The 26843-nt window shown below is 47.4% G+C and overlaps 1 protein-coding gene and 1 long non-coding RNA gene across 4 annotated transcripts in view, besides 5 other annotated features; one reads left to right on the top strand and one right to left on the bottom strand.

Moving 5' to 3' along the window:
* The window catches only part of ANKH (ANKH inorganic pyrophosphate transport regulator), a 166979-nt gene that overhangs the window by 125955 nt on the left and 14181 nt on the right, over window positions 1–26843 (top strand). For 2 of the 3 annotated variants that reach the window (NM_054027.6, XM_017009644.3), the window contains exon 8: window positions 3902–3997. In NM_054027.6, the coding sequence (NP_473368.1) occupies window positions 3902–3997 (96 nt within the window). Of the gene's footprint in view, window positions 1–3901; window positions 3998–4445; window positions 4592–26843 lie in introns of those variants that run through there. The other variant, XM_011514067.2, reaches the window with a different exon arrangement.
* Window positions 1345–1454: an enhancer, noted in NCBI's record as "active region_22414". NCBI's record gives its function as "activates an Ori minimal core promoter by ATAC-STARR-seq in GM12878 lymphoblastoid cells {active_cell/tissue: GM12878}" and the evidence as "EXISTENCE:reporter gene assay evidence [ECO:0000049][PMID:35858748]".
* On the bottom strand, window positions 4836–22437 carry LOC124900944 (uncharacterized). The gene is made up of 2 exons (XR_007058699.1): window positions 16809–22437; window positions 4836–15845 (listed from the first exon to the last, which is right to left on the bottom strand). It is a non-coding gene; the product is annotated as an uncharacterized LOC124900944 (long non-coding RNA).
* Window positions 16204–17162: an enhancer, noted in NCBI's record as "OCT4-NANOG-H3K27ac-H3K4me1 hESC enhancer chr5:14728771-14729729 (GRCh37/hg19 assembly coordinates)". NCBI's record gives its function as "activates a minimal SCP1, AML or CMV promoter by ChIP-STARR-seq in naive and primed H9 embryonic stem cells {active_cell/tissue: H9 hESC(naive and primed)}" and the evidence as "EXISTENCE:reporter gene assay evidence [ECO:0000049][PMID:30033119]".
* Window positions 17163–18122: an enhancer, noted in NCBI's record as "OCT4-NANOG-H3K27ac-H3K4me1 hESC enhancer chr5:14727811-14728770 (GRCh37/hg19 assembly coordinates)". NCBI's record gives its function as "activates a minimal SCP1, AML or CMV promoter by ChIP-STARR-seq in naive and primed H9 embryonic stem cells {active_cell/tissue: H9 hESC(naive and primed)}" and the evidence as "EXISTENCE:reporter gene assay evidence [ECO:0000049][PMID:30033119]".
* Window positions 18251–18445: a silencer, noted in NCBI's record as "fragment chr5:14727488-14727682 (GRCh37/hg19 assembly coordinates)". NCBI's record gives its function as "represses an EF-1alpha promoter that drives an FKBP-Casp9 reporter gene in an ReSE screen in K562 erythroleukemia cells {active_cell/tissue: K562}" and the evidence as "EXISTENCE:reporter gene assay evidence [ECO:0000049][PMID:32094911]".
* Window positions 21794–21873: an enhancer, noted in NCBI's record as "active region_22413". NCBI's record gives its function as "activates an Ori minimal core promoter by ATAC-STARR-seq in GM12878 lymphoblastoid cells {active_cell/tissue: GM12878}" and the evidence as "EXISTENCE:reporter gene assay evidence [ECO:0000049][PMID:35858748]".

The following is a 26843-nucleotide window of genomic DNA, read 5'->3' as shown; positions in this document are numbered from 1 at the left end:
CTTCTTGATAGACAGGGCTCTCTGATGAGGGACACTTTGTTGCTTCTCAGTCCTGCTTCCCTTTGTAAGGTTAATGTGACGTTGGGGGCATTGAAGGAATATTTTCCTCAGAAAATAACAGGGGCAAGTTGAAGCTTACCTTTGACGCTGATCCCAGGATGCTTTTCCAAAGTGATCAGCCTGTGGTTACTTTCAGGTTATTCCCATTGAGAAATGATTTGTTTGCGAAAGGGAAAATAAACTTCCCCCAAAATCAATTTATGGGATTTTATTTCTGTGGTTTGTTTCTTTAAACGAATGCTTTGCTGACCCCATACCAGATGGCTAAGGTGTAGGCAGGAAGCCGTGCGTGGCTGTCTTTCTGTGGGCTGGCCTACCTACATGCTCAGGTTGGCCACAGGCAAGACCTGGGTCCAGTGTTTTGATATTGCAGACGTATTCCAGTGGAAAGCCTGTTGACAGCTGCTCTGTCTCCCCAGCCATGGGAGTCACATAACCCTTCTGCCCTGTAACTTGTGACCCAGTCAGCACTGTCCTGCTGTCATTCAATTAAAGTCTATTTTATAGCGTTATCATTTAAACCTATAGACTTTTTTTAATACTCTAAAACAAATGGCTGGTGAAACATACTCCAAAAATAGTCTACAGTGTTTTAAAATGATACACAGGAAGGAAGCAAACAGACTGCTACTTCTTACCGTGAAGGGCACCTGTTGTGCCTTGAATGTCTGCAGAACTAGCAGCCACTGCCAGCATCACACTGTCTTATCCCAGCCAGAGCCTGTGAAGTGAGGAGAGGAAGCCTCCTGGCCAGGGGTGTCCACAGCGCTCAGCTCTGGCAGAATGGGCAGCTTGGCCTTGGACCCTGGGTAATGCTGGCCCCTCCCTCTTTCCCCCACCGCCGGCCTGACCTCTCCTGGGCACGGGAAGCCCTGGGAAGCCACACAACAAGGCTAGGCCACAGGCTGCAGGCCTCTCTCCTTCCTTCACGTGGCCACCAGCTTCCAAAATGCCCCCCTGAGACCGTTTGTGGGTTCTGAGAGGGGCGAGGCCTGCGGAGCAGGGACCTGGGGACCCCCTCTCCCCCACCACACCTTACAGCCTGGCCCAAGGGCATCCCCCCAGGCATCTCTGAAAGTGTGAGGTGGAGACGGAGGATCAAGCCTGGAGTGATCACCCACATCTGCCCTCCTCCTCCTCTGCTCCTGCAGTTCCCGAGCAGTTTCTCTGTGAATGCATGCTTGTGCAAACACACACACGTCCACCTCCACACACAGCCTGCTCCCACTTCCCCATCAGGGTATTCTTCCACTGCCAGCCCCCAGGCCACTCTTCCCTGTCTCTATCACCTGTCTCCTCTATTTCCCTTACCCATGGTCACGTGGGAAAGGGTAAACCACCTGAAAACCAGTGAGGGATTCCCCTGCCTAAGCTAATGGGCGATAGACCCAGAACCCTGTACTGAGTGTGGAACTTCCTCAGTGGACCATTAGTTAGGACCCACCACCTACTGGACTGTGAGTTAGGACTCACCACCTACTGGGAATATTCAGTTGCAGCATCAGGATGCAGAGCATCTCCTAAGAAATGCTTTTGGTTCCTGCTTCACAGGCCTTTGAGAGTGGACTCAGAAGGCATGAGTCACTTGCTGGAGAGAGCAGACACTGTGTTTGAGTGGGTTTAATTCAGTCTATAGATAGAAATCATTGTTTTCATTTCAAGGCACGTGTGTATAGAAGTAAATCCTAGAAAACCAGCATGAATGTATGTCTTCTTGCTAAATTTCAGTTCTAGCTCCTGATTAATAAGGTGATCATCTGATGAAACTGATGAGAAGGGCAAGTGCTGAAGTGTTAGAACCTCCTGGCTGCTTAGGTCTCATCTGAGATTATTTTTGGCCACCTTGAAATCATAAAATTTAACAATACAACACTGTATGGTTTCAGTAAGAGCATCCAAGAAAAACATTGTTTTATTCTTGATCACAGAGGCTAGGAGCTATAAAAAAATTCCTTTAACGAGCATACCTCTCACCAGAACTTCGAGTTACTCCAAATCCTTTTAAAACCTCGCCCATTGTTTCCAAGCATTCCAGCGAGCTACACCAGCCATTTATATGAATGCCGTCTATTCACCAAAATCTTAGGCACCTCCATATGGACTTCCAGAATTTGCTGCATTGACAGTTGAAATCCTGAGCTTCTTTGTGGGCTCCAGAATCAGAGATTTAAAATTTCTCACATACCTTCCGGGAGTTCTAGCTAAGCATGAGCTGAGAAAGGTTTCCACTAGTGCAGATGCTCTCTAATGTTCAGTTACCTGCAAAAAAGGATGCTTCTGAGCCAATTGGGCAAACAAACTGAAACTCCAGTGCTAATCTAACAATACCTGCTGGTTTATTTTCACGATCTTCATGTGAATATGTGCCATTTTGCAAATCACAGTGCCCCTGAAGGAGCTGTGGTACGTTGCTGTCCCCATGGCAGTATGTGTGTTTTGCTGAGGTTCCCTAATTCTTTCCAACATAGGCCTCCTCATCGTACCCAGCAGGGCAGTGCTCTTACAGAATGCAGTCCTCTAACAGATCCAGGGTGAATGGAGACGGAGGTCTCCAACCACTGGGACTTGTACTTTGCCATAGAGCAGTCTAGAAAACAGATATGTTTTAGAGACTAGAATTAAGAAAACGTATACTCATTCAGAGGTTGGTGCTGGTGGTGGAAGGGATTTGAGAAATGACCTTAGCCTCCCAGTAAAGGAAAAGCACAAGCTCTTTTCCAGGTGGATCCTGTAGTAGCTGTGGGTGTGTGTTTCACGCGGCTGGATGCGGAGCCAGGTGTTCAGGGTTTGTTTTTGTGAGTCGACTCTGGGACTAATTGGGTCCATAATGAGGTCAGGGTTATTTTTCTCTGCCAGTTTTCGTGGTCTGGGGGCCAGGCCCTCGTTTTGCAGGGGTGAGGAGCACGCTTAGCAGTGCAGCTGGAGAGCCTCGGCAGGCGCCTTTGACTGTCAAGCTGGGTGACATCTGAGCCCCCTGCAGTCCTGCTTGAAATGCAGTGCAGCAGGTGTTCTTGGGGCATCTTTTCTACGCAGATGTTGTGCTGAGTGATTCAAGGGGAGACACGCAGGGCGTTATCTCAGCAAGCACAGCCTCACCGGGGTTGGACGCATGACAGGACATGATGCCTGCCCTCAGAGAGCTCCAGGGTCATCAGGCTTTACAGGAGGTGGGGCCCAGCTTGGAGGTCAAAGGTCAGAGAGGCTTTAGGGAACAGATGAGCAGTGAAGATGATGGGCCTTAGAAAGAGGGATGTTTTTGAAAATCAGGATTCAATGGCAGGAGGAACAAAAGCACCAGGTGTGTCAGGGGAAGAGCAGGAAGTCCCATCTGGGCTAGAAGTGGAGAAGTCATGGCTGGAAAGTGAGTCTGTGTCAGATTGCACAAGGCCTTGAATGCCCAGTGGAATTTATAGTCCATTTGGTAGAGAGGAGAGGAGCCCTGGAGGACACTGAGCAGGGCCATGGCATTTAGGGAGATGCCGATGGTGGCCAGGCACAGGGTCTGCTGGGACCAGGAGCGGGGTGCATGGGGCAGGAGCAGGCTTCAGAGCCAAAGCCCCAGGACTGGGCAAGATGGGCTGCCCAGGCAGAGGGGAGGTGACTGAGTTGGAAGAGCTGCAGGGCATTGAGTCGAGAATTCACTCAGGTTAATGATCCTGTACAGGGACCTGACAGCTGCCCGAGAGACACTCAACATGACAGCCGCCTGGCAAACTGTCACTTGAAACCTCTAATTCAGACACATCAGATAAAACAAAAGCAAGATGCTCTTCAAGATCCCCCGGTGGGTTCAGCCAAGGATAAGCCGGGCCCATTCATGACTGTGGTTTTCTTTCCCCAGAATAACCCCAGCAACAAACTGGTGAGCACGAGCAACACAGTCACGGCAGCCCACATCAAGAAGTTCACCTTCGTCTGCATGGCTCTGTCACTCACGGTAAGGACAGAGGCTCTCTCTGCCTCTTCTCTCTGTTTGGTTTTTGTAAAGGGGCAAGTTGCTATTTTAAAGGGGGAAATCTTATTTTCCACAATGTAATGTGATGCTGGATTAATTAGCAATCTCTTCAATACACTTTCTTCTTCAAATGTGAACGATTGTTATTCAAGGAGGCCCTTGAGTCTAGGAATAAAGGACCCACTTCAGGCATTTCTTGGGACTTCTCAAATGCTGCAGAAAGGAAGAGGTTGCCTTTAATTGGAATAGTACACTTGTCTTGCTGAAAAATTTCTAGCCCACTTTTTAAACATCGAAAGTCAACTTTACAACCACCCCTGTCTCTTTTCCAAATTTAATCCGCGTTACTTCAGTGTTCCCCAGTAAAATTTCCTTTCCAGTTATGTTTGTGCTGACATAGCTTACTTACGTGGCCATCACGTGCCCATAGGCATTGAGCCCCTGCGGGATCCCAGGCCCATCTGTCTGCTGAGGATACAGCTGTGAGCAAGCGTGTGTGACACTGTGTCAGCAGCAAAGCCTGTCTGTATTTCTATGCGCAACCTTAAATAAACAACACGCATCCTTCGTTATGAAGCCCATGTGTGTAATTCGGATGTGTGCGAACACTGATAATGTTCAAAAAACATGGATAAAATAGGTACATGCTTTATAGTCCAAAGGACGTGGTATATAATTTAAGGTTTTTTTAGAGCGTTTATCAACAGTGGCAAAAAACTTACCGTTTATAAACAGCCTTCCGTTGGAGACTGTGCCCTTTGGGTTATAAAGATGGAGATGAAAAAGACGATAAGAAGAAATAAGAGTCTTTTGAACTCGGTTCTGTTTTCCTTGTTTATTGTTGTCACAACACATGTCCTATTAAATCCGGTAGAAACTTACTTTCGCATATACAATAGAAATATTTGCAGAAATGTCGAGATGTGTGCAGTTGTCATTGTCAATAACTAATAAAGAGGACCGGAGGCCGTGAAGGTGTTGGAGTATGCCAATAACGGGAGCACAGGGGCTGGGTCCTTCTTACCGTCATCACAAGAACCGTGGAGCTTGATGAGCTCTGTTAGTGGGCCATTAAACTCAAGGCCTGCGTACATTTTAAACCTTTAATGGACATTTTGAAAGCCTGCAGCTTAGTATTTGATCCGTTGATCCAACACCTAATTAGATTGTCACAAGGGCAGTGCCCATCACAGAAGACCTCTGACACTGCCGAGTCATGACCTCGTGTCCTCAGCTGCCCTTGTCACCACCAACACAGCCCCTTTTGCCAGCCTGTCCCTGTGGAACACGGGGGCGTTGGGAACCTATTCCAGCACTGCCTCACTGCAGAAGAATTGCTGATAGCAATGCCTGTTTGAGCGGGGCCGGTTCCCCAGGCAGCCATGCTCCCCTGTTAGCATGATTTCTCTCTGTGGTGCCCAAGCTTTTCCATAGTTCCCTAAAACATTAGCAAAACACTGAGCAACTTTGAAACCATTTAAGAGCATTTTAGGCAGAACAGAGCAGGTTTCTTTTCCAGGAAAAGACCTCAGCATTTGGAGACTGTGTTAAATGGCTGGAAATCCAAGGTTGAATTAACTCTGCTGTGAGGCCCTGTGACTTGGACCTCATCTGCATATAAAGCTGACAACGCCTGGCTGCCGCTGGCTCTGCGGTCCAGAAACTCACCTCCTCTGTCTTCTTTCATACTGTTTAACATCTTTCCGCTGCTAGAGTTGAATCTGATGGAGAGCTTTACCGGATTGGGCTTAAGGACATTCACCTCTCTTTCAGTTCACAGGCAATAATTTATACTTCTAAAAAAAATATTCTGCAAGTTTATTTTGAAATGATAATGACTTATAATCTGGGAAAATGCTTACATTTCCCAGGTAGAGGCTTTATTTATTATTCTAATCCTCTATCTAAAAACCATCTGTGACTTGAAGTTTCTCAGGGTAAATTTTCACCTTCTAGAAATAGAGATTCAGAACCCTTTGTCAGACAGGAACTTGGAGATGAACTAGTCAAAACCCATAATTTTTCAGAAAAGGAAATGATTCACACCGGACAAGTGACTTGTCCAAGTATCCAGTAATAGAACCGGCTACAGCCCAGCCTTCAGGGCATGCTCTCCAGGGCCCTGTGCTCTGAACCACACTGTTCCCAGAGAGTAGGAACAAATATTGGCCCTTAGGCCTCCAGATTGGGGCGCTTGCCACCATGCCTGAAACAGTGATTTTTTGCCCATTAAAAACCATAGTATTTGAGTTTGTGGCTTAGGAAGGGTCTCATGTACACCATCCTTATGATGATTCAATCAATTGATCCAACATCTTGGCTAAAGGAGTTTTCACTGAAAGACACATAGAAAAAAATATAAAGGGAGATTTTTCTCTTTTTTTTCTTTTTTGAGACAAAGTCTCACTCCGTCGCCCAGGCTGGAGTGCAGGCGCATGATCTCGGCTCACTGCAACCTCTGCTTCCCAGGTTCAAATGATTCTTCTGCCTCAGCCTACCAAGTAGCTGGGATTACAAGCACCCGCCACCACACCCGGCTGATTTTTGTGTTTTTAGTAGAGATGGGGTTTCACTATATCGGCCAGGCTGGTCTCGAACTCCTGACCTCAAGTGATCTGCCCGCCTCGGCCTCCCAAAGTGCTGGGATTACAGGCATGAGCCACTGCGCCCAGCCGGAGATTTTTCTTTCTAAATTAAACATTAAACTGTCCCTGTAATGAGTACTCACCTTATTCTGTCTCTTACTGTATTCATTCTTGTACATCTTTTGCTGCTCTTGGGCCCCAAACTTCATGAGGCAGGGTCTGCAATGTCATCTTTTATCCCCAGGGCTTAGCATCCTGCTTGACACTGAGAAAGGTCACAGTAACAAGTTAACAAACACAGGAATCAACTAATCCTTAATTATGAGACACCGGTCAGTAAGGTACCGACAGCATTCACCCTTGTGAATGGCAATCTTCTCATTTATGCTCAGTCTGTATTATCGTAAAAGCTTTTAAAAGGCTCTTGATTTTCTAGTCTATTTTCTTTTTCCTTGGTTTTGGGTTTTTTTTTTTAACTGTTTGTATAGAAGGGGTCTCACTATGTTGCTCAGGCTGATGTCGAATTCCTGGCCTCCTAAAATGCTGGGATTAGAGGCATGAGCCACTGCCCCTGGCCTGTTTTTGTTTTTTTGAATTTTGAAACTTCGTAATATCAGGAAATTAATGTAGCAGAGGTCATTGAAACGCTTGAGAGCAGCACACTTGGTGTTTATTTCAGCAGATGATTCTGTGTATACAGTAGGAGCTGCGTGATGATGCCACAGCCCTCCACGCATTGGCCAACGTTAGCACGCTTTCCCACACTCCGCTGCTTTGGGAAAATCAGCTTTATCCCTGAGTCTTTTGAGAAGAGCTGACCCCCAGGATCCTGTAGACACCCAATGACTCAGTGATTCAAAGGAAAACGTATACTGTCCAGAATCAAAATGCATCCTTCCCTCAGAACAGCCCCCTTTCCAGGCCCTGACATTTGAGTTCAACACCGCCTTTGCCTGTGAAAAATACCGCGGTGTCACTGCTGACAGTTAGTAAGAGGCTCATTTCAGCATGTTACAATGACGTGTTTGTTTATTCCCTATTACACATTTTCTATTTAAATTTAGAGTATCTGTCCTACTCCAGAAGTTGGTTCTGCCCTTGTACTCTTATCCAGCAGTTTTGTTGATCACTGGGTTTTAAGAAAAGCAGCAGATGTCTTCTGCCCAGTGTGGAAGAGGGGCTGAAGTCAGAGGGGTGTAGAGTAGGAAAATGGAAATGTTCGCCATTTCCGTTAGCATCTTGCTTTCAGTCCTTCAGAGCTGCGGTTAGGCATGCTTAGCCGGAGGTTGATTGATCTCTCTAAACCATCTGATGGGCATGAGGATGAGAAAGGGGGTACCTTTAGTTGATCCAAAAGATTGGCTTCAAAACAGTAGAACTGTCAGATGAAACGGAATCCCCTTGATAGCAACGAGGGAGCAGACACAGTGCAAACCCAGGTTAGCAAGGCGCCTGCTGACTGACAAGCAGCTGTTTGGGGTGAAGGGAAGCACATTTCAAAAATATATGTGGCATAAAGCCATTTGGAAGAACAGCTTCAGAGGGTCTGCTTTCACGTGGAAGCGTGCAGGGTTGCAGCCACGCAAAGGAGACTGCGTCGCAGCCTCGCCATGCAAGGTGTCTCCACTGGTGCTGGAGTCAGAGCCAGTGGTCGCCTTGCCCTGAGCCTTCCTGGACAGCTGCGGTCTCTGTCGCTCATGTGACTGGCTGTAGAACACAGTGACAGTGAGTGTGCCCTAAAAGGCTGTGCTTCTCTAGGTAGACACTCCTGGAGCCACAGGCTGAGGCAGCAGTGAGCTCACAAGAGAGGAGCAGGCACCACAGTCCTTCCTCTTACGTGGGGAAGGCAGCTGCAGTGCTGAACTTACAGAAACCCAGCCTCCTACAAACCCCTGGGGCCTATCATGGTGCCCTCCTGGACTCTAGAAGTGGGGATAAGATAGAAACCACTCACCGGCATGGGCTGTATCTTCCAACAGTCCTTTTGGTGGGGAAGAAATGTCCCAAAAGAGTGACGGACCTCCCTATTCCTGCATGCCAGGCCAAGTGGTGAAAGCCAGCCCATCGGGCTGCTAAGTTTACCAAATTTGCCAATTTACCCAAAACATGACTTTTTAAAACTGTTTCTGAAGTCCATAGCCAATCATATTTTAATAAACAGAAGTTTTTAACACCTTTGGATGCTTTTAGTTGACTAGTTTCCATTTTGATTTCACAATGGCATTTTCAGAACATCTGCTGTTTATCTTCTCAAGCTCCCTGCTCTGCTGTACTTTGGGGAGTTAGTGCCAAGAGAGGGGGACCCTCTGCTTCAGGAGACATAGAGAAGAATCCATGCAAAGCACAGGCTTGGCCTCTGCTAAGCCTCCCCAAACCATTAGCACACAATGGAAATGGGATCTCTCCAGATGGATCTTGGCAAGCAGAGCCAGCCAGGCACTTTTGTGCAGTGCACGAACTACACGACTATACCCAGCACCCCTGGGATGCCACATTCAGAGAAAGTCAGAGAAGGGGGAGAACAAGGATCAGGGAAAGGAGAGTGACTGAATGTCAGAGAGGTGGAGTAGCGTGAAGGTCAGAAGGAGAAGGGAGAGAGACTGGTCAGAAAAAGAGGGGAGGTGACGACTCAGAGAAAACTGGAGCAGAATGGCAGAGGTGGGGTTACAGACAGGGAAAATGGAGGCCCCAGAGACCCTGGGGCCCTCCCAGCCCTTGGGACCCTGCCAATCCTTCCTGTAAAAAATGGCTATAAACTTTAGAAGAGTTTAAAAGAGACAAGATCTTAAAACTCAGAAAATTTGACAATTTGTTGGTTGGCCAAATTGGTTATCCACCGGTTGATTTTTGGCGAGCTGACCTGTTTCAAGATGGCAGGTGTGGATGGGACTCTGTCCAGGGCTGGCCCCACACACCCACATTCTGATGACGCAGAGGTCATGGGACTGTGCCAGGGCCCCCAGACTACATCCACTGGTCCCCAAATAACTGGTTTCACTGGCTTCAACACATGGAGGCTGCTTGATGTGGTGGGGGTAGGGAGGTGTTGCTGTCACTTGAGGCAGAGAGAGAAGGAAGCCTGGCCACGCTGGCACAGTGTGCCAATCAAACCACGTGGCCTCATGCAATAGAGTGCAAGGGTATCCGAGGTCAATGGCTGTTTGTATTTAAGGATCTGATTCTTTAAAAAAAAAAAAAAAAAAAAAAAAAAAAAAAAGTTAGGTTTTTACTCTGGATCTTTCTGAGCCTTGCTTTTTGTAGTCAGTGGGGGGTTAAAGGGAGACCGTGAAACTGCATTCAACCCGGAACCTTCTATTTTATTGTTATGGGTTGAATAGGATTCGCCAAACCTTCTTATGTTAAAGTCCTAACCCCCAGTACCTCAGAATGTGACCTTACTTGGAAATAGGGTTAAGATGAGGTTCTGGTAGGTGAGTAGGGTGGGCCCATAATCCCCTATGACTGGTGCCTTTTTAGAGGAAGAAATTTGGGCACAGACATGCACACAGGGGAAGCACCACATGTAGGCTGGAGTTTTGCTGCCTCAGCCCAGGAGCTACCAGAAGCCAGGAAAGGCCTGGAACAGACCCTTCCCTAGCACCTTCAGAGGGCATGTGCCTCTGCTCACACCTTGATTTCAGTCTCCAGAACTGTGGGGCAGTAATTTTCTGTTGCTCAGAGTCACCCAGTTTGTGTTATTTTGTTTTGGGTGCCTGGCAAGCTAACAACTATGATTTCTGAAAGGAAGGAATCTTCTCGTCACTTAAGGCTACATGGATTGATGAACCAGACTTCTAACTATTCAACTCACTTGTTTTTGTTTTTTGTTAGATTCTGTCTCCTTTTAGTTTCATGAGACATCTCTATTATTTTATTTCCAGATTCTCCATGTGAGTAGGGGATTTGCTTAGAAATATAGTACTTTATGCAGTGTGGCCCTGTGTCTGCATTTTTTAGTTTAATTTTTATTTTTTGTGGGTACCTAGTAGGTGTACATATTTATGGGGAACATGAGCCATTTTGATACAGGTAACCTGTGCCAGTACTTACATGCTTAATGATATTTTTGCCAAAGGTTTCTCTGGGGACAGGGGATATTGACACCGTAGCTACTGATAGAAGTACCAGGACTAGATTTAAGTTACTTTGCTTCTTGTTTTTCTTCTGCTTTTTATTCATTGAATAATGCAGTGCCCCTCAACAAGGTCTTTGCAGAGTCCAGGACTAACCTGGGCCACTACAAACATTCAAAAACTGAAATATTTTTCCAATTTTCAGGAAACAATAAGTTGCTAGAATTTTATTCATTTGTATTTCTTCACCCCCAGATTGCCTCAAAATCTTGATCTCTTCTTCTATTTACCACTTGAACCTTATAAAGGGTAATTGATTTGGCACAAAATTATAAAAATTACTCATTTTTCAGTTGAACGTATCAATACACACCCGTGTTCTGCCAAGAACCCACGTGGGGCCCACCACCTGAATGAGTTTGAAAGCAACAGGGAAGACACGTTGTTTATACCCTGGGCCTGCAGACACGCACTGCTCACCAGCCCCTCTGAGCCCTTAAGGAAGTAAAGCCTGGGCCCCACGGATCCCTGCACCTGCCGAGTGCTGCCTGACCCGAGTTCCACCTCAAAGAGGCAGGTGCCCAGCCCGGCTCTTTCGGTTTTCACTGCTGTGGAAGCAGAGCTATCATAGTGTTATAAGGTTTCAGTGCCACAAAAGACATAGTACTCGAATATAAAATTTTCTTTTTAATTCTCAGCAAGGCAATGTACTTCTATAGAAGGATGCGCCCTTACAGATGGAGCAATGGTGAGCGCACACATGGACAAGGGAGGGGAAGGGGTTCTTATCCCTGACGCACGTGGCCCCTGCTGCTGTGTTGTTTCCCTATTGGCTAGGGTTAGACTGCACGGGCTAAACTAATTCCGATTGGCTAATTTAAAGAGAGTGACGGGGGTGAGTGGTTTGGGGGGAAAAATGATTACGGCAGAGCAGGAAATCGGAATGAGTCAGGGTGGAGCAGGTAATCAGAAAAGGTTGCTTTACGAGGAAGTTAAGTTTAAAAGTAGAAGGCAAAGAATTGAACATATTGACATACTGATTCTTTGAAGAGAAATTTAGAACGCATATCTAGCAATAGGGAGAGGTCAGTCAGGAACTGCCATCCCACACAAATGGTGAAGTCACTCAGTAGGGCTTCATTGATCGACTTCCATGATTAATACCTTATGATTCCCTACAGGTTTTTTAAAAATTGGTTTTCTTAGTCTCAGCTTAAAGACAGTGTACAGAAACCAGACATCAGCCTGACGGGGCGCTTAGTCCAGACACTCCCGACACGCATGCGCCATCAACGTGGAGAAAGCAAAGATGTGGCGCCTCTGGCCTCTTGGCTTTCCGAGCCCAGCACCAGCTCGGAGGCTGTGAGGCACACGGGGCTCCGCACACGAGCACTTTCCCCGTGGCCTGAAACTCCCGATGACCGGCCATTCACTTAGGTGCAGCAGGCAGGGAGCCCAGCAAAGCCCATGTAAATGATCTCAAAATACCTCAAAAATTACCAAATAGAGGTAATTACATGAAGCAGTGTGTGAAATGAGCACGATGAGGATCTAAAACAGCTGATTGCATGCTAAATGGCCATTTTGTAAGTTTAATGAAGTAACATATCATTTGACACAGGAACAAAAGAAAACAATCAAAAAACACTCTGGGCACAGGAGAGACTTCACTGGCTTCCCTCTCCCAGGCCTGGGTGTCTCCTGCACCTACGGGCAGTGCTTGTGAAGTGCTTTTAGCTAGTCTGTGGTCTTTGCTCAAAAGGGTCTTCATTTTCTCTTAAAGGCTGACTACTGTGTCCCCAGCTCTGGGTCGGATGTCCCACTTGCTCGGGCACAGTAAGGTAAATGGGTTTTAATGGTGCCATGAAATTCTTCTGGGGTCTTTTTGTATCTTCTGAGCCCAGTACAAGGCTAAAAGAACCACAAAGCGCTGCCAAGAAACAGCACATATGGCAAACAACAGTGCCTCGAAACCTGCTCACTATGAATCCGGTGCCAGACAGTTTTCAGTGGCCTGTAGTCCTCCCTGGAGATGGCTCTTAACTGATGTGGCTTGAAGAATGAACTGATTGTTACCAAAAAAGAAGTTTCCAGAGGGCCAGGGTGCACGAACTGGAGCTGACACCACTGATCTCTTACAAGTTCCCTCCTTTGAAACTGGAGATGGGTTCAGCTGGGGGGGCTGTCTGTCACGCCTGTGGCTCTCATGACATCTAACTGCCCTGTATGTGTCTGTTGATTTAATGAGGGAAGAGGGATGGAGGCAGAGGGATTTAGGTCAAGCTGGAATTGGCTACATAGCTTGGTGCTTATAGCTGTGGGCCCTGGAGCCACAGGGCTTGGGTTCAAATCCAGGCTCCACCACTCACTAGCCAAGTGGCTTCAGGAAAGTCACTCAAAACTGCCATCTTCAGTTTCCCCAGATGCCACACAGAGGCAACAAGAATTGCTCACCTTTTAAGACTTTAAAAGGGGTAAAAGCTTAGTGAAATACCTGGCATGTGCTATATGCAAAGAATGACAGCTCTCCTCAGCCACCAGCTCCACCACCGGGACACTCAGTGGTCCCTAACATAGGGAAAGAGGGCTGCACATATACATAAGTAGCTAGGGGTATATTTTATGCCAAGGAATAATTTTATGAATTATATATATGTATCTATATCTTATAGATAAATATAAAGTTTATAGTCTTCAAATTTGTGTGGGTTTTGGTGGTGGGGGGTGTTGTTTTTTTAAAAGCCAGTCTCTTGATCGGTAGATTTACACACACCTTCAGTAGACAAACCCTGCCACAGATGTGACCCCTGTATGAACCATTTTTCTCCTCGGGGAAGCTCTTTAGTTGACCCGTCACCCCCTGCTATTTACAGCCTCCCAGTCCCAGGCACAGATGGTGCTACCAGAGCCCCATCTTCTTGCTAACACAGAGATGCCAGTTCTCCATCAAGCTGCAGTGAACACAAAAAGAGGGGAATGAATAGGTTGAGTCCTCTGACTAGACATCTGATAGAACCACAGACACAACCACATAGTAGAAAATGCCAGTAAGGACCAATTTGAAGTTGCACCTGGGCCCAGGAAGCATGTTAACATTTTGAAGTCCTCAGGTGAGAAAGAACACCCGCGTGTCCACAGAAACCTGGGTCCTGTGGGGCACACGTGATGCTTCCTAGGGACCCGTCATGACCCCTGTTCACGTGACACTCGCGCAGCTCCCTGGGCCTCCCGTGTGTCTCGTCTCTCCCCACGTTGCCCTGTCCCACACAGCTGTGGCCGTATGCATTGCTGAAATCATCAAACGCCTAGGCAGTGGAGCAGAACACGTCAGCCCATCACTTTCCCTAGTGCAGCCTAAGGCTATACCTGCTTTTTAAATTAGCCGCTTGGCACTGTTCTCAGGATAAACATGAGACCCATAAGCTCCAGTCAAGGACTGGGCCCTTCTAGGATTTCCAACCTCGAGGCTCCCAGCCTCTCCCTGATTCTCTAAGCTTTCTTTCCACCACAGATGAGTTCATGCTGGGAACCTTGCACAGTTTTATGGTTATCAACAGAATGCTTTTCTCCCTCTTGTCAGTGTTGGTCTTCAGATCCCACTTGGCTGGGTTTGCTCTTCCTGGCTAGTTTTGAGGTGACCCTCCTTGGTGGAGAAGGCAGAGAGAGAGCTGGGGTTTGGAAGGTACCCCCGGCCCCTGGCAGCTCTTTCCCTTTTCCCTTCTTTCTCGTGGCACATTTTTTACAGCTCTTTTTCTTGATCTGAGCACTTTTACTCTGAGCACTTGGGCTTTCACCTCCCGACCTTGTTCTTATGGGGGTTCTTACGTTCTTATGGACACATTGTTTGGTACCACCATAGACCCTGCCATAGACATGACACTTGTGTGCACCAGGCTGCCCCTTCAGCCCGCCTCTCCCTCCTAGCCATGGCCGATTTGGAAATGATAAAGATCCTCAGGAAATGAGCCCTCTCAGTAGCCACCCATCCGCCAACAGCCTTCCAGATAGTCCTTCACCACTGGCCGCTGCCCCCGGAGGACGACATGGCCTTTCACGCCCGTGTTGGGCCGCCTCTCCAGCTTCCCATGCAGCAGTGTCCCCTCGCTCTGTGCTTTGCCTTGGTGGCTGCTGCCTTGGCCTCGAGGGCCCCGTCGGGCTTCTTGGCAGGCAGGTGCTTCCTTATCAACCTCTCCCTGGCACAGACAGGCACCGCCCCTTTTCCCCCCGCCAGAGCCTACCCCACCATTGCAAAGTGGCAGGTCACAGACAGTTTCAGTATTTACAGTGCCCCTCATCCCAGTGGAACCCGGGCTCTGGCCACCTCTTCTTGGAAGGCGCAGCTGGCAAGATAGAGGTGGAGGCACAGGGAAAGGAAACGCCTCCTAGAAGTCAGAGGTTTGGGGTCCTTCTCCTGCACTCCTGGCGCTCGCTTCTTGCTGGCAAGTACGCTGGGCACATCCACATACACGTCGGCCCCATCCTCCAGGCTGCAAGCCCTTAAAGGTCGACTCTGCGTGGGGCGTCCCAGGACCTGGGTGAGGGAGACCTGCAAGAGACTGGCTTCCAAACCCCTGCCCTCAGGTGAAGGCATGGATGCACGTTTTGCTGTCCCCAGTACCCACTTCCACACCTGGGGACCATGAGGCCTTCAGATGCCTTCTGTTTTCCTCCTCGTGGCCTGTTTTCTGGTTGTTGGGAGAGAATTTGTCTTCTGAGAGTTTTTCAGCCTCTTTTAGAATCTCTGGTGCTATTAGATCATATTCGCCTCTTTTCCATAAGTTTTGAAATCTGTTTCCCTTAATTTCTTTAAAAAAAATAATTTTCCCTGATTCCTGTGAATGTGAAGAAACCATGGCCACTCTCTTTGTCAGCAGCCCAGGATCATCCCCTCCGGCAAGGCTGTGAGCCCCCCTGCTCCAGCTTCTGGGGAGAAACTTTGTCCGGGAGAAGGGATTAGGTTGGAGGCTGCCAGAGAGGAGAGGGGCTTAGCGGCCTGGTCAGGTCCCCTCCTTGTGTGCTGTTTCTGTAGAACCCAGCATGGTCAGGTCCCCACCTTGCGTGCTGTTTCTGTAGAACCCAGCATGGATCACAGCACAGCGGGCTGCTTCTGTTGGGCTTCACTGCCTGCCGGAGGGAAGTAGGTGCCATCCCAGAGCAGGCAACCCTGCGGAACTGAGGATAAAGGTGTTTAGTATTTAAAATGTCTTGATCCTAAAGCTTCAGAACTTCAGGCCGCAGAGAGAGCAACTCAGGAGGGAAAGAAAACAAAGAGCAGCGGCATCAGAGAAGGAAGCAGCCTGAAGAATCCACTCTGTCCGGGTCTTTCTCTTGGACACACTGAGCTAACCCCTGTCTGTGCACTTGCTGGGAAGTGCCATTCCCAAAGCTAGAAACCAGAATTCTGGCTCCACCCCTTTTCTCCCCGCCAGAGCCTACCCCACCATTGCAAGGTGGCAGGTCACAGACGGTTTCAGTATTTACAGTGCCCCTCATCCCAGTGGAACCCAGGCTCTGACCACCTCTTCTTGGAAGGCACAGCTGGCAGGTAGAGGCGGAGGTACAGGGAAAGGAAACGCCTCCTAGAAGTCAGAGGTTTGGGGTCCTGTCTGGCACTGCCTCTCGCGTCCTCAATTTCCTCAATTAGAAGACTTTTTTTTTTTTTTTGGTCAGGCGCGGTGGCACAACCTGTAATCCCAGCACTTTGGGAGGCCGAGGCGGGCAGATTACCTGAGGTCAGGAGTTCGAGACCAACCTGGCCAACATGGTGAAACCCCGTCTCTACTAAATAAAAAAAAAGTAGTGGGGCGTGGTGGCACACAGCTGTAATCCCAGCACTTTGGGAGGCCAAGGTGGGCGAATCACCTGAGGTCGGGAGTTCGAGACCAGCCTGCCCAACATGGAGAAACCCCGTCTCTACTAAAAATACAAAATTAGCCAGGCATGGTGGCACGTGCCTGTAATCCCAGCCACTCGGGAGGCTGAGGCAGGAGAATTACTTGAGCCCGGAAGGCGGAGGTTGCAGTGAGCCAAGATCATGCCACTGCACTCCAGCCTGGCTGACAGAGCAAGACTGTCTCAAAAAAAAAGAAAAAAAAGGCTTTTTTCCCATCATTTCAGGGCCAGTTTTGGACGCACCTTGCAGGTCAGGATGGGCTCCTCCACTCCCATTTCTACCTACTGTCCATGTGTAGTGGAGAGGGCCTTCCGCGCCCTGGTGAGCTTGTGCTGCTCCTGTCTTGCCGCTGCTTGGGCCGGCACCCCAAGGACTCCACCGTCTTGGTTGCACACCATTATTTGCAGCTGCGTCTCAGTAAGGCGTGTCAGTTCTGAGTCCTTCTGTCATGTGCTAGAAGGTAGCAGAATCTGAGCTTGTAGTAAAACTTGCCATCCGACAGGACTTTGCCCGGCTGGCCCTGCGTTCCATGTTAGAAATTCCGTTCATGAGAATGACCCTGTCTCACCTTCCTGTGGCAACCTTCCCCCAAGCCATAGCTGTCACTCAGCCCTCTTGGGCGGATGCTAAAGGCCATATTCCAGCGGTGGCACCATGCTGACCCTTTGTCTGGAACAAAGACGGCCTGTTTGAGGCTTTGTTAATGCTGGGCCACCCCACCCCCACGCCGTGAGGTGGAGACTGCCACCCCATTGTTCCCGGCTCCACTGGAAGAAAATGCCTCTCTTGTGTATGGGGGATGAGAAAAGAACCAAAGGTGAATTAATGGAATTCAACACTTTCTCATTTGGTGCCCCTCACAGTACCCTTGGGCCTGAACAGTTTAGCAGCTTAGGGCATCTTGGAAACAGGGAGAAAGCAGGGCTTCTGCGGCCCCAAGGCCTGGATTGAACTCTGGCCCCTGCCTCTTTACCAGCCGGTGACCTGGGGCAAGTCACACAGTCCCTGTAGGCCCTGTGTCCTCCTCAGCTAATAAGGCATCTATCTGGGGAGTGTATGAAGATGAAATGGAATCACATATGGAGCGCTGTTGGCGCATAGTGAGTGACTTCCTTCCCTCTGCCTTCCCTCCGCACTTCTCTCTGGAAGCTTCAGGAATCCAGCATTTGCTCAAATCCAGCACGTATAGCAGATTTGAGTGGTTGATTGGTTTGTTTTGGGGGAATTTAGGTAAGATGAAGACAATAAAGGCTAGTCCCTAAAACTCTACCTAAGCCCTCATAATAAGACACCAGGGCAGATGCACATGTGTCATTTAAACAACGAGCAAATGAACAGAGTGTGCTGTTATAAGCAGGTTCCAAATGTTTTTAAGATTTTTTTAATTGTAGAAAAATACACATACAGTGTACCAACCTCACCATTTTTAAAGGGACAGTGAAGTCCATTCACATTGCTGCTTGTCATCACCATCTGCCCATAACGGGATTGCAAAACTGAAACCCTATACCCACTAAACAGTCACTCCTCATGTCCCCTTCCCCCAGTCCCAAACAAGTTCCAAGTTGACTATTAATAGTCAAGGAGAAGGAAAGGCTAAACAGAAGCTGGAGTGTGGAACTTTATCAATAGTCCTCAGATCCTGTGAGAAAAACCAGGAAAGGATTAAAGCTGCAGAGAAAAGGAATAGGAGTTGGACAACCCTCTGCGGGCTTGGCGCATGGCGCCCCCTGCTGTTTGAGGTATGTCATGTCTTTCCACCAACGCGGCATTACTAGATTAGTAAGTCGTTGGGATCTGAAAGACACTTTGCTTTCATGTAGTGTGTGCATTTGGCAATTTCATTAAACCTAGATGATAGAAGGGATGATTTAGTTTTCATATTCTTCAAAAAGCTGGTTATAAAACTATATCTGAAAGTGTTGATTTTTTACCGTGAATATGCTGTAACAGTTGATGATTGCTTCAACTCCTTTATGAAAATATTCAAGATTTATAATAATTATTATGATTATCAACAAGCCAGATGGAAGGTATCAAATTCTACATAAACACTTTGTAATATGCTTTTCCAAGCTCCTTAGCTTAGAAAACCAAGCTCTGTTTCTCTCAGTAATAGATGTCATTTTTCATCTATTGTTTGCTACCCCTATGTTAGCCAACTAGAATTTTTCTAGCCTGACCTTAAGTAAAAACTCCTTCCCGTGTCCCCACTGCCTGTGATGGTCATCATCATCATCCCTCCTGTGAGGTTCCCTACTTTCTCCCACTGAGCAAGACGCGGATGTGGAAGCATCCCTCTCTCCCATCATCCCCTCACGTGCTGTATCGGGAACACGTGGCTTTGCACCCTTCTGAGGACAGGTCAGTCAATCCCAAGAGCCCATTCCTTCTGGCAGTTGCTACAGGTATGCACACCTTAAGCACCGTTCCCCAGAAATGGGAGTCATTTGCTACTTTCACATATTGCCTGCTTTCGGCAATTCACCCTGGTGAAATGGCATTGTTTTTCCTTCTAAATTGGGAATCTGAGAGTGTGTCCTGATGGAATTCCATGTCATTCCATTTGGGGTGTACTGAGTCATGCAAACATTAGGAACACTCCTAGAGAGGCCCCATCCAGCTCATGGGACAGCTCACAAGTGAGCAGGAAACCACCGTGAGGACAGGTCAGCCACGCCTCCAGCCTCCCTCCCGTCACTCTTGCCCAGCTCCTGTCTTTCATATTGTACATTGGTTCTTCTCCCTTCCCCACCAGTCCAAACCCTTGCCAGCTCTCACCTGGATGGTCACAGTAGCCGTGACGAGGATCCTTGATTCAGCCCTTCCCCTGCTTGCCCTGCCTCTCCTCCACCCACAACCTGCCATGGCTCTCACATCCCTCCGAGTGAAAGCCAGAGTCGTGACCATGACCTGTGAAACCCTTCGTGAACTGTCCTCCTTCCTTACGTGCATGCAGCTGGTGCAGTCTGGCACTAAGAAACAAAAGGCCAAACAGCATTCCTTATGGCTGCGTCAGCTCTCTCTGGAAAGTCGAGCAAGACAGCATAGTGTTATCTAATAGTGTCCTGCCCTGTGCTGGCCCCTCCACCCCTAAGTATATCAAATCAGTGTGCCTTCCTCATGAGGTGATGTGGGACATGGTTTCCCAAGACGCTGGCTGTGAAAACCAAGCTGACAGCCACTTTCTGAAAGCTGCCCCTCCCCCAAGACAAGACTTCTCACATTCCTGTCCCAATCACATTTGAAGTTTGATGATATCCGTGAAGACATCTACAGGGGTCTGTTTTATTTAAAAATGTTTTTCTGCATGGTGAAACCCCATCTCTACTAAAAATACAAAAATTAGCTGGGCGTGGTGGCACGTACCTGTAGTCCCAGCTACTCAGGAGGCTGAGGCGGGAGAATCTCTTGAACCCGGGAAGCGGAGATTGCAGTGAGCCAAGATCGTGCCACTGCACTCCAGCCTGGCAACAGAGCAAGGCTGCATCTCAAAAGAAAAAAAAATGTTTTTCTGATAAAAAGAATACATGTTCTTTGTGGAAGCCACGGAAAAATACAAAGAGGAAAATTCAATCAGTCCTAATCTCACCACCTCCAGAGGACTCCCCTGCTAGCGTTTTGTTAGAATACGGTCCCAGGAAACCTTCTGGAATACTCACAGGTGACATCCGTGGATCACATTTGGTGTGCCGGTGCTGGAAAAGCGGTTTATGCAAACTGCAGTGCTCGCAGGCTCGGGGTTTGCAGATGAGTGCCAGAGGTCTGGCCATCCGTGATGGGATAAGAAGCTAGCACCGGAATGTGAATCAACTTGGTCACCAGGTATGATGTCCAGTTCAGCTGGCGTTGTTTGGATGGCAAGACTTTCTTAAGGAAGGCAGGCATCGATTTACTTTATGGAGTCAACTGCTTATCTCAGTGTGGACCAGTCCACAGTTGGCAGACCAGCACTCTGGGCAGCCCAGTCCACACAGCATCCCTGTGAGGGAGACACCATCCCCGTTTGAAAGAAGAGAGCTGAGGCTGGAGTGCTCAGGGAACTCACCTAGAGACAACAGACAGAGACACAGCTGGGTTGGAGTGCCAGCCCGGCAGTCAGGCGCCAGTGCCAAGCCCTAACCTCCTCTTCACACTTTGTGTTGCCGAGGGCTAACCACTGGCTTGCCCGGTGGGGACTTCAACCCAATTAAAAAGGTATATTGAACCTTTTTTTCAAGCAAAAGCGCCAAATAAAAATGATGTCCAGGGCCAGCGATTTTTATTCAAAACAGCTGCATATGTTTGACTTTTTCTAACTGCAGGGATAAGAGTCTCATGTACTGCTAATTCTGGTTATTCAGGGCAATGGGGAAGCCTTTGTGAGTTCCTCAAAATGTGGTTAAGAGCTTATGGAAATTAAATAAGACCCGAGCACTTGGCAGTGCCCTCATAGGGTGGTGGTCTCCGAGGACACACACAGAAACGGCCGTCCCACCGTGGCCTGGTTGGCATGTTTCTGAGTTCACGTGCTGATGAAGACAACTGGCTGCTTCATATCCCGGTTCCAAATGCTTTGAAAAGAGACTCAGATTGTCCCCAGGGGAGCTCGGGGACCATGCATGGCCCACTCTGCAAGTGAGGAAGCAGGTCTTGGTTCAAATCCCCCTTCCGTGGTTCTTAGCTCAGAAAACCAAGCTCTGTTTCGGACTGTAGCATAGTAAGACCCAGGGGTCTTCTGTCTGTAAAGCTGGCGATTTCCTTCATCACTGCACTGATCCTTCTGATCCTATTGGGGGACCTTAATATGTGGTCAAAGTTTTTCATGACTTAGCCCATTGATACACAGATTTAGAAATAAAAGTCAAGTACTGCCCCAACACAGAATGACGACACACAGTTAAGGCCTGCTTGAAAATGTTTTGGGGTTTTTTATGTGATTTTGTTGTTGTTGTTGTTTTGAGACAGAGTTTCACTCTTGTTAACCAGGCTGGAGTACAATGGCACAATCTCAGCTCACTGCAACCTCTGCCTCCTGGGTTCAAGTGATTCTCCTGCCTCTGCCTCCCGAGTAGCCAGGATTACAGGTGCACACCACCACGCCTGGCTACTTTTGTATTTTTAGTAGAGATGGGGCTTCTCCATGTTGGTTAGGCTGGTCTCGAACTCTTGACCTCAAGTGATCCATCCACCTCGGCCTCCCAGAGTGCTGGGATTACAGGTGTGAGCCACCACTCCTGGACAAAAATGTTAAATTACTCATTGATCTGAGTCATCATCAACGTTAGGCTCAACCAAATCATCCCTGGAAACTGACTGGCTCACATGCTGACTGGAAACTGTATTTTAAGTTTGTGAATAAAAAAGCTGCAGCCCAGTGGTGGTTAGTTTCTAAAGAGGTTAATATGATTCAAGAAATGAGGAAGTCTACCCCTTGATCATGCAGAATAAGAGACTGAGAGGGGACTACACTCTACTAGAAATGAATGTGTCTTGGGCTGCATGTAAGCACCTCAGAGTTCAAAGCAGACACTTCACGGTCAATGGCTGGTCTCAGAAAATGAATCACAGTCTGTCAAATAACAGAGAAGTGAATTATGAATCGTCATCTTCTTCTTCCTTCTTTTTTTCTCCTTTAATTTTTGGAGACAGGATCTTGTCACTCAGGCTGGAGTACAGTGGCGCAATCTTGGCTCACTGCAGCCTGGACCTCCCAGGCTCAAGCAGTCCTCCCGCCTTAGCCTCCCAAGTAGCTGGGATTAAGGGTATGCTACATTTTGTTTGTAGAGATGGGGTCTTGTGTTGTCCAGGCTGGTCTCGAACTCCTGGCCTCAAGCAGTCCTCCCACCTTGACTTCCCAAAGTGCTGGAATTACAGGCATCCACCATGCCCAGCCCTTCTTTTTTTAACTTTTTTTTTTTTAAAAAAAGAATAACTTCTGATTTACAGAAACATTGTGGAGATGGTGCAGAGTTCCCATAGACTCCTCACCCTCACTCACATTACTTTACTGCAGCGCGCATGTTACAACCGAGGAGCCAGCCCTGGTGTGTGACTGTGAACTAAACTCCATGGTGCATTAGGATTTCACTGGTTTGTTTTCTCGTGAGCTCTTTCTGTTCCAGGATCTCATCCAAGACACCACATTATGTCTAGTCATCATGCTTCCGTAGCCTCCTCTGGTCTCTGAGAGTTTTAGACTTTCCTTGTTTTTAAGGCCTCAACGGTTTTGAGGAGTTCTGGTCGGGTATTTGGTAGAAGGTCCCTCAATGTGCGTTTGTCTGGGGTTTGTCTTATGATTAAGACTGGGCTTAGGGATTTTGGGGAGGAAGACCACAGAGACAAAGTGCCACTGTCATCACATCTTATCGAGGGTATGTGCGTGGATGTTGACCTTGATTGCATGGCTGGGGTCATGTCTGCCGTGTTCCTCTGCTGTCAGGACGGGTTTCCTTTCTCCCCACTGTGCTCTTCAGAAGGAAGTTCCTCAGAAGGAGCAGGAAGGTCTGCTCCACCCACCTTAGAGGGGAGCAGCTAATGAATTATTTAGAGTTCTGTGCAGGACATTTGTCCCTTCTCTGCCATTTTTAAATTTCTATCCCTAGGGACTCATGGATATTTATTTGCTATTTTGGGATATAATTCAATACTGTACTTATTTTGTTGCCCAAATTGTTTTTGCTTTGGCCATTCGGAAGCTCCTTCTGCCTGGCTTCTGTGTCCCTTTGCCGTGTTCCCATTCTTTTATTTTGGGGCACAGCCTTCCTTCTTGTACCATAGATGCTCCAAGCGAATCATCTTGCATATTCTCTGCCTTGGTCCTAGAATGAGTCATTTCTCTAAGGAATCCTGGTTCCTTTTATTGAAGAATAAATAGAAAAACCAAGATCTGGGCACTGGGTGGACTATTCGATTTTGAAGGCTGTGTCCTGACAGAATATTGACAGCAAACTCGACAGCAGAAAACCCACCTCTGCAGCTGCTCAGAGGAACGACTCTTGTTCATTGGTGGGAGATTATTAGGGGTGTGTGCTGGTTTGGAAAAGTCAATGTCATTAGGCTCTGCAAATATTTGAGGAACACAGCACATCATGGTCAACTGGGAGGCATGTTCTGAGTTGAGACTACTCTGGGTGAACTCATTAAAATGACACTGTTCCTGATACTCTTTGTCAAGGGAACTTCTAAAGCGTCCTGTTTTTTCAAATGGACTTGTTAAATGTAGTCTGATTATTATGCTAGGGCTCAGTACTTTGCCTAGGGGAAGCTAGGGAAACCTCACCTGCAGATAGGTATTGTAGCTTTTAATACATACCATACCCACTTTTTTTTTTTTTTTTTTTTTTTTTGAGACGGAGTCTCGCTCTGTCGCCCAGGCTGGAGTGCAGTGGCATGATCTCAGCTCACTGCAAGCTCCGCCTCCCCGATTCACGCCATTCTCCTGCCTCAGCCTCACGAGTAGCTGGGACTACAGGCGCCTGCCACCATGCCTGGCTAATTTTTTGTATTTTTAGTAGAGATGGGGTTTCACCGTGTTAGCCAGGATGGTCTCGATCTCCTGACCTTGTGATCCTCCCACCTTGGCCTCCCAAAGTGCTGGATTACAGGCATGAGCCACCACGCCCAGCTCACCATATCCACTTATAAGTTAAATGTATTCCTTTCTAAGTTATATGTATACCTAAGTTATATACGCAAGAAATATCCACTCGTTGAAAAACTTGCTGAAAAGTGAAGCGCCATTTTCCTACTGGAAGCATAGCAAGAGCTTCAGAGACTTCAGGGAGGAAGAAAAAGGAGACTTTGATAAATGTGGCGTTCCTTTCCTTTAGTTACCTGTGATTGTTCAAACCCCAGATCAGACTAACCGCTTCCAGTTCCGATACCCCGCGAAGACCCAGTCTGGGCTGTAGGTGTGTGTGGTTGAAAACTGAAGAAGCACCTCTGTTGGCACATGGCCATGATAAGGGGCATTTAGGGTGTGCTCAGCACAGACCAAGATAAAAAACAGAGTGACTGAGTGGTGCCAGGTTGGATCATACCGTGGAATTTTAGAAATGGACTATTGAGCCACCATCTCAGGAAGCTCCTACTGGAAATCCATCAAACCTTACTTAACTTCGTGGTTGTGTTCAAGGTACCATAACTGTGCTCACCTACACAGCTTGGCTGATACTGATGTCAATGTGTCAAGTGATGTGGGCACACTCACTATCATGTCCTCAAGCTGACCCCCCACCCACTGCTCCAAAGGTTTTCTGATCTTCTACAAGATGGGAAAACGCCTCTGGGTGAACATGACCCGATTGTGGATCCCAGAGCAGGGATTACCTGGCTCATCTGCCACAGAGGCCCATTTCCGCCATCTTTCTCTCTGACGTGCAATTACACCCTCCTTTTTCCTTGGTTCTTGTAACTGAAGAGCCACTTTACAATGATTTTGCAAAGCCTAGAGAATTGCAACATTTGTGTGAGGCATTATCTCACATTCAGATCATTGCTGGCTGCAAAATCAGTAAAGCATGCTAATGGTTCCCTGGAAGCTTAAGGTTTTTAGTAGTATGTGGCCTAGGTCTCTCTCTAACCCTTAGATAAACACAGAATGGCTTACTTCCTGTAGGTTCTAAGGCACAGAGCCAGCCCAGACTGTAAGGCAGTCATCCCTTAGCTCAATTCTTTACAGTTTTACTGCTATGGGACATATTGGGGGCCCAATATAAAGCAAAGCTGGAAGCAGGGATGATCCATGTATTTGTGGGGATGGGATATGGACAGGGAAATAGTGTTCCAACTCCATGCTGAGTGTTGTTTTGAATTGTAATGTGAAGTTGCCACCATACCAGGGCTATGACTGTGTACGATGTCTCACCCTTGTAGGCTAGTAGCTTTGCAGTGGGAAAAGATGACAGGGCCACTTGTCCAGGGCATTCAGGTAATAAAGTCCCTGAGCTCCAAGTTGCTAGATCTAAGGAAGTATTTTTTCCTTCATGTCAAAGATGGGGTGTGAGTACTGTCATCAAGCAGTAGGATTAAATGAGATAGTACCTCTGCCATTTTTGAAAACCAGTGGAATATACTTTGCCAGATGCAGAAAATACGTAGGGGAATGGCTCTATTGCACTTACAAAGCAAAACATATTTATAATAGATCTCCAGTGTATTTTTTTTTTAATATTTCAACATGACATAGTAAATAGAGCTTGGCTAATTCCATGAAACTTAGTGTACTCAGAGCCTAAAAGAATGTTATATTCTAAAATTTTAGTGTTCTGTTCTTAATTCATTTTAGAATGTATTCAGTTTTATTGTAGAGAAGAATCACTTGCATTTTAAGAAAAGGAGATAAATATTTGATGAAACTGTCAAGTTTTTAACAGGATCTTCCAAAGTTATGTTGTTGGATTTTAAAATTCAGGTTTTTAAAGTTAGCACCAAGTTTTCCAAGTCAGCTCTGTAAGGATTGTAACTCACAGTAGCCATGTCCCCAGCCCACCTCTTCAGTGCTGCTCACTTCCACCCTGTCCCTTTCCTACTCCGAGAGGCACCCCCAACTCTTGATGGATTGTGACTACGATAAACTCTGACGCTGAGCCCTGATTCCCTTCCTTTCTCAAACAACTTTAATTTTTCCTGGACTTAATAATTGTCAATTATCATCTTTCTTAGCCTTCTGTGTATTTCACACTAAGTTATTCCCACATTTTCCCTTCGTGGTGTAAATCGCTTTTCAAGTATTCAAGCACATTAGGTAGTTAGCATCTCTCGGAGCCTTTTTCTCCCTGCTCCAGGGAAGATCAGCTGACCTGTGGGCCTATCGCAGCCTTCACCTCCACCCCAGAGATTTCCCTGGCTTTTGTCTTGTGCTTCACCCATGCCTTGCTCTTTTCCACTCCATGGCTCACTTGCCTTGGCAAAGCAACCGTCACCAATAGCTTCTTGAAAAAGTGTGCATGAGAGGTAAAACTTTTGAGGCCCTGAATATTGAAAATATTTTTCTTTTAAACACACTTGAGTGATAGTTTGGTTTAGAGTTCTAGGGTAGAAATCATCCGCCTTCAAAACTTATTGCTCCTTGTCTTCTAGCTTTCAGTGCTATTGAGAAGCCTGAGGCCAGAAGCTCATAGGAAGCTGTGTCCCCAGTTGTGTTCAGTGACGTGCCCTGATGGGGCTTTTCCCATGCACTGCACCACCTCCCCCGGATGGGCCCTTTCAGTCCTGAAACTGGTATCTTTCAGTCTGAGACGTCCGCTGTCCCCTCTTTCCAGAACTCCTATTATTTGGGTGTTGGACTTTGTTTC

Source organism: Homo sapiens, chromosome 5 (assembly GCF_000001405.40).
Source record: "Homo sapiens chromosome 5, GRCh38.p14 Primary Assembly".
NCBI classification, from domain to species: domain Eukaryota; kingdom Metazoa; phylum Chordata; class Mammalia; order Primates; family Hominidae; genus Homo; species Homo sapiens.
This window is presented reverse-complemented; position numbering and strand designations above follow the sequence as displayed.